Source organism: Homo sapiens, chromosome X (genome assembly GCF_000001405.40).
Source record: "Homo sapiens chromosome X, GRCh38.p14 Primary Assembly".
NCBI classification, from domain to species: Eukaryota; Metazoa; Chordata; class Mammalia; order Primates; family Hominidae; genus Homo; species Homo sapiens.
In genome coordinates, this window is record NC_000023.11 from 43,649,839 (window position 1) to 43,662,246 (window position 12,408).

At 43.6% G+C, this 12,408-nt stretch overlaps 1 protein-coding gene across 2 annotated transcripts in view, besides 2 other annotated features; it reads left to right on the plus strand.

The window, feature by feature from the left end:
* Positions 4,969–5,363: a silencer, noted in NCBI's record as "fragment chrX:43514055-43514449 (GRCh37/hg19 assembly coordinates)". NCBI's record gives its function as "represses an EF-1alpha promoter that drives an FKBP-Casp9 reporter gene in an ReSE screen in HepG2 liver carcinoma cells {active_cell/tissue: HepG2}" and the evidence as "EXISTENCE:reporter gene assay evidence [ECO:0000049][PMID:32094911]".
* MAOA (monoamine oxidase A) overlaps positions 5,168–12,408 on the plus strand; it is a 91,812-nt gene continuing 84,571 nt past the window's right edge. Inside the window, exons 1-2 of one of the 2 annotated variants that reach the window (NM_001270458.2) lie at positions 5,168–6,576; positions 8,024–8,131. Coding sequence is in view for 1 of the 2 variants with exons in the window: in NM_000240.4 (NP_000231.1) it covers positions 6,504–6,576 (73 nt within the window). In the remaining variant the exon portion in view is untranslated. The remainder of the gene's footprint in view (positions 6,577–8,023; positions 8,132–12,408) is intronic. The other variant, NM_000240.4, reaches the window with a different exon arrangement.
* Positions 5,295–5,354: an enhancer, noted in NCBI's record as "active region_29564". NCBI's record gives its function as "activates an Ori minimal core promoter by ATAC-STARR-seq in GM12878 lymphoblastoid cells {active_cell/tissue: GM12878}" and the evidence as "EXISTENCE:reporter gene assay evidence [ECO:0000049][PMID:35858748]".

The window sequence follows — 12,408 nt, forward strand, 5'->3', positions numbered from 1 at the left end:
TGTCCATGTGTTCTCATTGTTCAGTTCCCACCTATGAGTGAGAACATGCGGTGTTTGGTTTTTTGCCCTTGCGATAGTTTGCTGAGAATGATGGTTTCCAGCTTCATCCATGCCCCTACAAAGGACATGAACTCATCATTTTTTAAGGCTGCATAGTATTCCACGGTGCATATGTGCCACATTTTCTTAATCCAGTCTATCATTGTTGGACATTTGGGTTGGTTCCAAGTCTTTGCTATTGTGAATAGTGCCGCAATAAACATACGTGTGCATGTGTCTTTATAGCAGCATGTTTTATAGTCCTTTGGGTATATACCCAGTAATGGGATGGCTGGGTCAAATGGTATTTCTAGTTCTAGATCCCTGAGGAATTGCCACACTGACTTCCACAATGGTTGAACTAGTTTACAGTCCCACCAACAGTGTAAAAGTGTTCCTATTTCTCCACATCCTCTCCAGCACCTGTTGTTTCCTGACTTTTTAATGATTGCCATTCTAACTGGTGTGAGATGGTACCTCATTGTGGTTTTGATTTGCATTTCTCTGATGGCCGGTGATGGTGAGCATTTTTTCATGTGTCTTTTGGCTGCATGATGTCTTCTTTTGAGAAGTGTCTGTTCATATCCTTTGCCTACTTTTTGATGGGATTGTTTGTTTTTTTCTTGTAAATTTGTTTGAGTTCATTGTAGATTCTGGATATTAGCCCTTTGTCAGATGAGTAGGTTGCAAAAATTTTCTCCCATTCTGTAGGTTGCCTGTTCACTCTGATATAACCACATAAATTTAAATATTATGCATATCTAAAATGTCATAAACAGCACTAAAATACAAATTGGAGTAAACTCTCTTCAGTGAAAATAGCAAGCAAGGGGTTACTATCTTTTATAAAGCACTTTCAGAAATCAACTGCAGAAAGGCATGAAGTGATCATTCACAACAGAAGAGATGGAAATGGCTATAATACATTTTTGAAAGATGTATTTCACCAGTAAGCAAATAAATGCTAATTTAAATAGCAACGCCATGCTGATTTTTCACCTTTCAAGTTAAGAAAGGTTAAAAGTGAACTTGTTTATTGTCGGAGTGGGTATAGTAAGAAGATAGCCATTCTTAGGCATTACTAATGAAGTATAAATTTGTATAATCTTTTGGGGAAGTAATTTGGTAACTTCAATCAAAGAGCTTAAAAATGCTCCTACTTTCTTACCTCATAATCCTGTTTTAGGATTCTATCTCAAGGAAATTGTAAAAACTACATACAATATTTTATGCACAAAATGTTCGTCTCCATGTTATGTATTATATTAAAAATTGGAAAGTACTAAACGCTTAATGTTAGAGGGTAATGATTAAGTAGACTAGAGTAGGCAATTGAACATAGAGAGTGAATATATATATATATATATATATATGGCATGAATATATAATGTAGTTTTTTAAAAATTAAAATGTGAATATGTATTGAGTAATTCTTACATGTCTGGTACTACCCTAAATGTTTTAATGCATTTGCTCACTTAACCCTCGCTTCAGCTGTGCTAGATATCTTCATTTTGCTTCTCCGGGTGCTACTACCACACTTCTCTACTCTGTTCTGGCCCCTGAAGGCTGACCTGTGTCAACTAAGGGAAAAAAATGAAGCTTTTAAAGAATTACAGTTAATTTTATACAGAAGTCTTACTGGAGACTATAGACCAAGGCTTATAGCTCGGGAGCAGTTCCATCAGACGGCTCGGGCACAGTATTTCAGCCCATTGCTTATAGACAAGCGTGGGAGTTCAGTACCTGCAAAATTGCATCAAACCTGCTTGGAAGTTACAATGAAGCAGAATCACATCTAGATTTGGGTGTAAGAGTACATCTGGCAACAGATTACGGAAGCATAATCACCAACCCCATCAGACGTTACCTTATGTGTAGGGAAAGGCAAGGACTAGGGTCATTTATCTTCTAAGGAATATAGTGACTCAGACAAGAAACATGGGGGGCCGTGTGCTCTACCCTGTTGTGTCTTCAAAGCATCCTTCTGGTGAGCTGCATATCTTCACAGAGTCAGAGGCTTTGTGAAATTATGCTGGCAAGCAGAAATGAGCAAACATGGCTTCTTGGCACTTGCTATTTTGTCTCACACCTGTATGGACTGCATCACCAAGAGTCTCCCTTGTTTTCTAGCTTCTGGTTGGGTTAGGTCTATGCAGAGGACCAGCAGGAGACTGGAGGGAGGGAGATTACGTATTTATTCTCCCAGCTTCCTACCTGCGGGTTTCCTGTGGGCTGGCTGTCTCCCTGAACTAAAGGCCACACCTTGTGTCAGGCAGCCCTTTCCTAACAGCATTGTCACTAAATTTCTGGTGACTGCTTTCTCCCCCTACCTGTTCAGAGTGATACCTTCTTGCTGTTACCAACCCAGGGTACTGCACGATTCCTTACGGCTTCTCTCCATCTTGCCCACATCTTTGAAAATAGTTCATTGATGATACGCTCTTGAAATTACTTAATTTGAGTTTGCTGTTTCCTGCTAGAACCCTGACTGATTCAACAACTTATAGGATTCTACGATTCTACGGCTGGGACAACACGCAGAGAGAAGTCTAGTAATTTGCCTAAGGTCACACAAGGGAGGAAATAATACTTATGGAATGTTTCACAGTCATTCTTTTATTTGTTTATTTAAAATGAACTTTTATTGTTTTCATACAACACAAATAAAATGAAGAGAGAAAATACTCATATTTCTACTCATCGATTTCCATCCTTTATTTAATGAAACTTCCACATTTTCATCTCCATCCAAACTCTTGCTTTGAGTCTCAGGCTTTATGTTCCGTTGCCTACTCTATAACATTCATCTGGATGTCTCAAAGGTACTTGAAACTCATCATGTCCAAAAACATGCTCATGGTCTTCCAAATTCTAGCTACAACCAAGTCCTGTCAACCTTATATGTAAATGTCTCTAAGATAGCCACATGTCTCCAGCTCCACTGCCACCACCTACCTCAGTCTAAGACACTTTCACCTCATTCTTTAAAGAATTCCTAACTTTGGTCTACCGGTACCTATCTACTCTTGCCCGATTATGCACATGGCAGGCAGATAGACCTCTCCAAGTTGCAATCTAGGTATATTGCGACTTGCCTAAAGTCTTGCAGTGGCTTTTGTTGCTCTTAGGATCGAGGCCAAGGATGCTACCTTGGCCCAGTCGGCCTCAGCAGCGTTGTCTCCCCCTTGCCCAGAGCTCCACAGAGTAACTTTTAGTTGCCTTAATGAACTATGCTTTTTTTCTACCACAGGGCCTTTGCACACATTGTTTCTTCTTTCTAAAACATTTTTACACTCTCTGTCCCAAAGTTAATCTCCAGAGGGGTCAGGACTCAGGACACCCTAACACTTTCTTATCCATGTGGATCTTTCTAATATAACATTTGTCAGAGTTTGTATTTACACATCAGATAGACAGTTGTCTATGTCCTCTATTAACTCATCCACTAGACTGTGTGTTCGATGATGATGGTCTCTGTCTTGTGTTGCCTGTGTATCCCAGTACCATGCCCTGTGCCTAGCACATACTGTGAAATCAAGTATTTGAACGAAAATAAATGAAAACAATGAGAATAAGGAGAAAGGTGGACAGAATCACATTAGAAAGAGCTGATTTCTTCATATCTAGTTTTTCTTCTCTCTATGCTCAAAGTCTACCAAGATAAAAATGATTTCAATTTAGTCATAAGTCTCAAGTCCTTTTCTAGGAAGTAAAAGTTATTGAAACAGGATGAAGAAAAGACTAAATCCATATTTCTTTACAGTTTATTCAACAAGATGTTTGATACAGAATGGGGCGAGGGGCAACAGGAGGAATGTTTATAGGTGGGAGCAGACATCATTAGCTTCCTCGAGTTCTCATCACTTTCTCTAAATTTACGTCACGATTTCACCTATTTTTTTTTTTTTTTTTGAGACGGAGTTTCGCTCTTGTTGCCCAGGCTGGAGTGCAATGGCGCGATCTTGGCTCATCATAACCTCCACCTCCTGGGTTCAAACAATTTTCCTGCCTCAGCCTCCCGAGTAGCTGGGATTACAGGCATGAACCACCACACCCGGCTAATTTTGTATTTTTAGTAGAGACGCGGTTTCTCCATGTTGGTCAGGCTGGTCGTGAACTCCCAACCTCAGTTGGTCCGCCCGCCTCGGCCTCCCAAAGTGCCGGGATTACAGGCGTGAGCCACCGCGCCCGGCCAGATTTCACCTATCTTTGAGAGTTCCAGTAATGACAAATTCAGCTTTTGATGACAAATTCAGGATAACAAAAAGTGGAAAATTAAGAAAGGGATAAAACTAGCAAACAGAAGGCTGGCTGCACAGTAAAATATGTGCACTAAATAGCACTCTTTTCAGTAGGATGGGGAAACACATGTTTTCTTATTTCATTTGTTTCTGCACCTTAGCCATCCCTTTGACCTTTTAAAATGCAGTCCCACTTAATACATGATAGGTGAGTTATTTTTCTTGCCTACTTGCTTCGATTTGGGTTAAGCGCCTCAGCTTGAAAAACCCCACAGAGAACCAACAATTGCCTGGTCTCCCCCAAGTGACGGTTCTCGCCCCGCCCCGTCCCGTCTCGCCTCGCCCCGCCCCTCCCCGCTCCTCCCCGCCCCTCCCCGCTCCTCCCCGCCCCTCCCCGCTCCTCCCCGCCCCTCCCCGCCCCTCCCCGCCCCTCCCCGCCCCTCCCCGCCCCGCCCTCAACCTAGTGAGGGCTGGAGGCTGCGCAGACCTCGACGGGCCCTACATGACGTCACAAAGGGGCCAGACCAAGTGGGGCAGCACCCTGCGACCCTGCGATCCTGCCTGGCTCAGCCGCCTTCATATATCTGCTTCCTTAAGTCCACTCTTGCCCAGATAGCTTTCAGTTAAAACTAAAGAATGAAAGCACTAGGTTGAGAGCCCACGCGGCTACACCCACGTCTACTCCCCCACTCTCGCCAGGCAACCGCGCCCCCCGCCTGCAGTGGCATCGTCCGGCCACGCCCAGTGGCAGGGTTTCCAGCGCGAGCCTGCAGGCAGGCCGGGAAGGCGGAGCCAGGCCGGCCTAGAGTCACTTCTCCCCGCCCCTGACTGGGCCGGGAGCCCGGGGCTGGTCTCTAAGAGTGGGTACCGAGAACAGCCTGACCGTGGAGAAGGGCTGCGGGAAGCAGAACACCGCCCCCAGCGCCCAGCGTGCTCCAGAAACATGAGCACAAACGCCTCAGCCTCCTTCCCCGGCGGCACCGGCACCGGCACCAGTACCCGCACCAGTACCGGCACCGGCACCAGTACCCGCACCAGTACCGGCACCGGCACCAGTACCCGCACCAGTACCGGCACCGGCACCGAGCGCAAGGCGGAGGGCCCGCCCGAAGCCGGGGGCACAACTGCCCAGGTCCCGAACCCGGACTCCAGCTTGGACGACACCTCCTACAGCCTGTCCGAATGGAGCGTCCGTTCTGAGTGGCGGTCCGTCTCGGATCCGCTAGCCAGTTCCCAGTGGAGCACGTCCTCAACTGCCGAGGCCGCCTCCTGGAGCTCCAGCATACACTCCCCAATCAGCACTACCGGTCTTAGCGAGAGTACTGACTCCGACTCCAAGAGTGGCCTCCGGGGTTTCAGCGCTTACAACCCGAGCAGTCGGATCCCCAAGTCTACCACCAGCTCGAACTCCTCCGATGGGGCCGTCACAGCCTCCAATCAGGACACCGGCATTCCCTGGGTATTAGTAACAGGACCTACCCCGCCCGTAAACTCCCCCGTAGAGTCATTGCAAGGGTCTGCCTTCTCCTCAGGGTTCAGCACCCCACGGGGTTTGGTAAAAGGACCGACCCTGCCCCCGGATTCCAACCTGACCTCAGTGTCCGACTACACTTGGATATTTGTACGGGGACCTCCTATACCCAATGACCTTTCGCAAGTGTCAATACAAGCACCTCCTACACCCAGTAACACCCCCGAGTGTCAGTACAAGGGTCTGCCGCATCCTCAGTGTCCAGCTTCCCCTGGGGTTTGGTACCAGGACCACCTCTACCCAATAACATTTCCCCAGTGTCGCCACAAGCACCTCCTGCACCCCATAACATCCCCCCAGTGTCAAGGCAGGCGTCTACCCCCACCTCAGTGCCTGACACTCCGCGGGGTTCAATACAAGAACCTCCTGCACCCAGTAATCCTTTCCAGCTGCCGACACAAGGACATTCTAAACCTAATAACTCTCGCCGAGTGTCAGTACAAGGGTCCGCCCCGCTCTCAGTGCCCAGCTCCCCCCGGGTATCAGCTGAAACATCAGCTCCGCCCCTGGGCGCTCCCGGAGTATCAGCAAAAGGGTTCGCCCCGCCCACAGTGCCCGGCTCCCCCCGGGTATCAAAAGAAGGATCGGCTCCGCCCCCGGGCTCCCCGGGGGAGTTGATAGAAGGGTCCTTCCCACCCTTTGCCGTCCCCACTCCTGTGCCTACGACCCAGGAGCGTGTCAGCCAAAGCATGGAGAATCAAGAGAAGGCGAGTATCGCGGGCCACATGTTCGACGTAGTCGTGATCGGAGGTGGCATTTCAGGTCAGTGTGGACCGTAGCGGTGGCCTGGGGGACCCTGGCCAGTGAGGGGTAGGGGAACCTACAGTAGCTCTTGTGGTGTTTGGGGGTCTCTCATGCATGCGAGAGTGTAGTGTAGCCATGGCTTGGCCCCATATCCTGCGAGGTAGGAGTGGGGGTTGTGCCAGTTTTGCTGGTGGTGTGACTGGGGGAGGCAGACACAATAATTTTACTACTACTACTATTAAATACTAATATTTAATTAGCTCTTGCTGTGCAGTTGTATTTAGCACTTTACGTGGATTTTCTCAGTCCTCAACAGTCCTGTGAGGTGGGAACTAAATTCATCCCCGTTTTGCAAAACCAAGAAACTGAGGTCTGGGGAGTTTCAATAACTCTCTTGAGGTCGAATCACCTAGCTTGTAAGTGGCTGAACGATTTTCTCCCATTTAAGACCTGCAGTACTAATTCCTGAGGTGGCTGCTTTGCCTCACTGATTTCATATCCTTTGCCCTAAACAGAACATCAGGATACAGATTTCTGTAGTATTGAGGGAGCAGTAGTGTTATTCCAGTCCTGCTCTTCTCTATTTTCCGTAGAAAATTTAGTAGGTGAAGAGGAAGGAGGTAGACTCCTTTAAGAAAAGGTTAAAAAAAAAAAGAGGAGAAGAGGGGGTGAGCTCTTAAACTATTCCTGTGTGTGTGTGTGTGTGTGTGTGTGTGTGTGTGTGTATGAACTGTGTTTATATATATATATGAACTGTGTTTATATATATATATGAACTGTGTTTATATATATATATGAACTGTGTTTATATATATATATGAACTGTGTTTATATATATATATGAACTGTGTTTATATATATATATATGAACTGTGTTTATATATATATATATATGAACTGTGTGTGTGTATATATATATATGAACTTGCAGGAAGGTGTAGGACATTTATTGTCCAAAGAGAATCCCTTTATGAAGCAGGGGCTGAGTGCCCTGTTGTATCCTCCTTCCTCCTTTCACTAAGAGCTCCCACCACCTGAATCTTGTCTTCTGATGAGCCAGTTGGTGGGCCAGGGTGCCCCTGGTCCTGGCTTGGATTTGTGGCTAACCAAGTGAGTGGTGCATGAGGCTTTCCAATATCTTCCTGGAAGCCTCATCATGATTGATATATTGTCGCCTATGTTGCCATCATTGGTAAAATGTTTGAAAATTAGGAATTTTGTTGCCTTTCATCCCTGGCTAGAATACCACACTGACCTATCCTCCCCCTACTAGGTGTTAATAATTTCTGAGTTATCCCTGCAGGATCTGATTCAGAAAGAGAAAGCTGATGGGAGGGAGTAAGTAGAGTGGCCCCACAGTAGCCATTTTTATATATAAATCTTTCGAGGAGACTCTGAACATGCTACAAATTAATGTTGGGTAGAGATAGCTTTATCTGAACCCAACATTGTTTATCCTGAACAGGCCAAGAGAAGAGATTGGCATGAACTGTTGCTTTGCCAGTTCCAGCCAGTACCAGCAAAAACATACATGTATGTTGGAGCATCAGAGGAAAGCAGCTCCTGGTGGAGAGTAAGAAAAAGGAGTATTTCAGCTTGTTTCTCTTTATTTATTTATGTATTTATTTATTCATTCAAAAAACACTTGTTGAGTACCTGCAATGAAGTGGACTGCTGTTTCCCAAAATCTGGTCCCACTAGGCAAGCCTCCTAAAAGCAATATGGTTGTAGATCACTGGAAAATAAATATGATGACAATGTGTTATATACATTGACTAGGGGTTCTGGGTCCTCTCCCATCTCCATACCATCTGTATTCTGCAATTCAGAGTTCTTTCTGGGATTTTATTCTTAGTCTTTTTCTTGTTCAGTCTCCAGAATTCCTTAAGGAGCGCGGTTTTTTTATTTTTCCTCTGCCTGATTACCTGCTCTTCCTCCCTTTCTATACTTTATGCTCCATACTTGGTCATTAGCAGAGGTGAAATTACCATGTAGCTGATAAACTTTATGCTTTATGGCCTTATAACTGTAGGTTGCTTCTGGTTCTCATTCTAAATAAATAACCAGTTTCATACTCAGTCCTGTATTTGCAATTTTGCTTTCTTATTTCTTAGAGAGGATACCCAAGTTATATATAAGTTGTAGGTCCCACAAAACCTGAATCTGTCCATAGTCACTCTTAATTATTAATTTATTTCCATTTGGGGGAAGTAGAGGGCATTTCTTGCACAGTAGTTCACACCTCTATTCCAGAGGCCAGCTTCAGTGACACTGGAAAAAGCACTTGACTTCCTCTAATGCCATCTCCATCAGTCAGATCTGAGTGATTTTAATACTCAAACTGACCAGAAACATTGCTTTCTATCTGTGGTACCTTCCCAGATGGTTCACAGCTAAAATGAAAGTAGTTGCAAGTGTGGCTCGTGTTAGATCCTGGACATAAACTGAGTGTTTCATGAGCGGGTGAGAAGCATCACTTCCCAAGCATTCTTGTGAATTCAGAAACATACCATTTTTGTGTGTGCTTGGCAGTATCCCATGAATTACTTAATAGTCCCTGTGGCAGTTTTATATGCCTTTGGATGTTCTTTATAACTTTTATTAGGACTTGTACACTTTGATAGGTTACCCACACATTCATAATACATCACCAATCCATAGCATCAGCAGTGTTATTTCTATTATATAGCACCCAGAAGAGTACATATTCTAAGTGACATTACTCAAAATTGATCCATATTAGCAACATTTTTTAAATAACTCTCTACACAGAGAATAGCAGCATCTGGATGTATCTCCTTTTTTGTCATTATAAAACATAAAATAGACTATGTCTTACAACCACAAACTCTTTTTATCTGCCTAACCACCAATTAAATAATTATATATAGTATGTTAATAGTTGAGAGGGGAAATAACCCTGCTGATTTGTTGGTCTAGTGGTATCTTTAAAATGCTCTGGTCCTTAACCATCATTCATCATCTATCACCCATTCCTTTTTGAAACTCCTTTCATGTTTTCAGCGATGCTATTGGATCCTGAATTTTTATCCCATACTGATTGCTGCTTTTCCATCCCTTTCATTGTGCTCATATTCTTGCAAACATCTGGTTTTGAAAGGTTTCACTGTTCATCACTTTGGGGCTCTTGGTACTCTCTCCCTCTCTTTCTCATTCTAGGACTTCAGCTGTCCCTTATCTATAGAAAACTCTCAAGTCTCTGATTTGAATCCTCTTCCTTCCCTGAACTCCTGTCCCATAGCTTATCTGCTCCTGGGTATTTCACGATTGAACACTTCAGGTTCAACATGTACCATAGCTACTGTGCTAGCCAATCCAGCTTCTTTTCCTCAGTTCCTTGACTCTGTTCTTAGCACCACCATCCCTTCTATAATTTTTGACATAATCTTTTCTTTTATCTTCTGCACCCTTTTAGCAGATCCTTCTCACTCTTCTTTGGGGCTATCTCTCTTCTCCTTTCTCTATGATGACCTCCCTCCCCCCATCACCAGGACAGACTCTTTTTTAAAAGTATTTTGTATAAATGTAAGGGATACGACTGCAATTTTGTTACATGGATAGATTGCATAGTGGTGAAGTCTGGGCTTTTAGTGTATTCATAACGTGAATAATGTACGTTGTACCCATTAGGTAATTTCTCATCATCCTCCTTCCTCCTGCCCCACACCCTTCCAGTCACCAATGTCTATTATTCCATACCTCTATGTCTGTGTGTGTACATTATTTAGCTCCCACTTATAAGTGAGAACATATGGTATTGGACTTTCTATTTCTGAGTTGTTTCACTTAAGATAATGGTCTCCAGTTCCATCAATGTTGTTGCAAAAGCTCTTGACCCCTGAAGCTACCTGGTTATGACCCCCTTCCCAGTGGCCACCCTTTACAATAATGGCTCTCCCTTTATGTCCATCCTGCATTCAGTGTTCTCCCAAACTTGATTTTTCTTAAACACTTCTTTCATCACCTTGCCCCTCTGCTCAGGGCCTTCAATGGTCTCCTATTAGCAGCCTCCCAAACACCTCCCTATCCCGCCCCCCATCATGACAAGTAGCATTTCCTACTATTTTCCAACATGGATCTGAGCTTTAGTCTCACCGCCTCGTGTCCTCAGGCTACACTACGTTTATTTAGTCCCTTCATGCCTTTTCTGTTTTTATCTTTCTTAACATGGAAGTGCTTTTCTCTTACATTTATATTCTATCTATCCTTCAATGCTTGGCTGAAGATCCTTTCCTTGATCACTCTGGCTCCCATTGATTTTTCTCTCCTCTTGTAGAGCTTGTAATCTGTACTTAACAAACAATTTACACTTATTTTCTATCTCTTATTTCATGATTTGATTTTAAGGATAATGGCTCAGTCACTGAATTCAGTTGTTAGTTCTTACTCATGAGCTGCCACAGATACAATAAATGACAGAAAACTAGCGGTGGAAGATTTTTAAATCTGCCCTCAACTGAGAATTTCTGAAATGGTTCTCTTTAGTAGAGAAAAAAAGGAAACAAGAAAAAAGCCCACCTCCAGGGGACAATGTATACTTCCTTCATGAGTCTGTTTGGAATTTGAGTCTTTGGGTCAAAGGGGTTTTAAAAGGCAATCTAGTCCAATCACCTAAGATTTTAATCTTCTTAACAGCACCTCGCTAGTGATTAGAGCCAGATGGCTGTAGCTTTGAACGCATTTAAGGATAGGAAATGCTCGGTCTCTCAAAGCAACTCATTACAAGTAGAGGTAGCTCTGGCTCCTTGTCTTGTTTAAGCATTTCAAGAACCTCTACCTATATACTAAGCAGTGACTGGGGATCATGGGGAAAGAAAGAGATATATAATGATGAGTAAGTAGCATCCCTGTACATAAGGTACTTCTATCTTCTGGAAGAAGTAATCAAGTGGGTGAATAATTGACATGAATACAGTGAGATAATAATTGATATGAATATAGTGAGATAAATATCAATGTGGTGAGATAAATATTAATGTTTTGAATATGAACAAAGTGCAGGGATCTTGAGAGATAAGTAGAATTTTAACAGGTAGAGATAAGAGGATGGAAAAAAAGACATACCATACAGGAGAGACTAGAGGAACACAGATACAGTCATGAGGGTATAAGCCAGATATGAGCAGTGCTTAATTTCCCAATGGTGAGAGTTCCAGGGAATGAAAATAGTTGTTTCCTATGCCTCTAGGTATGTGATCCTGGTAGCTATTGAGATGAGCCCAGTGTGCCACATCTACCCATGATTTTTGTTCCTGTGTGAGCTGTGAATGGTTAGCGAGCGCACAGTGAAAATGCCTTAGTCATAACACTGGATTGTCCTGGGTGAATAAAGTGTTTCTTCATTTTTTTTTATTTTGCAATTAAATTCCAAGTGTCACGTAGAAAGACCTCTTCATGTCCAAATAGTGTTTAAGCAATAGAACTCCTCTCTATTTTTGTCCATCAGCTGAGCTCTGCTGAAAGAATTGAGAACACTAGCTGCCCAGAATTCAGTGCTGTATAAAACCAGCAGGAATGAATTTTTCTTATCTTCTGAGAGACAGAAAAGCCATTTTGCAAGAGAAATAACTAATGTTCAGCATTCCGATGATTGAGTCCACAACATACCACAATTTCCCTTTTTGCTGAAATATATCACCTGTAAAAATTATTCTGCTAGGACCATTTTAGGCATTTTAACCCAGAACTTGGCAGCATGTACTGTGTGGTTTTGCAGTGATTAAGAAAAGCTTCCATTTAAGAAATGCCACTTATTTTTGGTGTCTTAGTTATTTAAATACTCTGAGGTTCAATGTGGGCTGAGCATTAATTTTTTGCTGTTTAGGACAC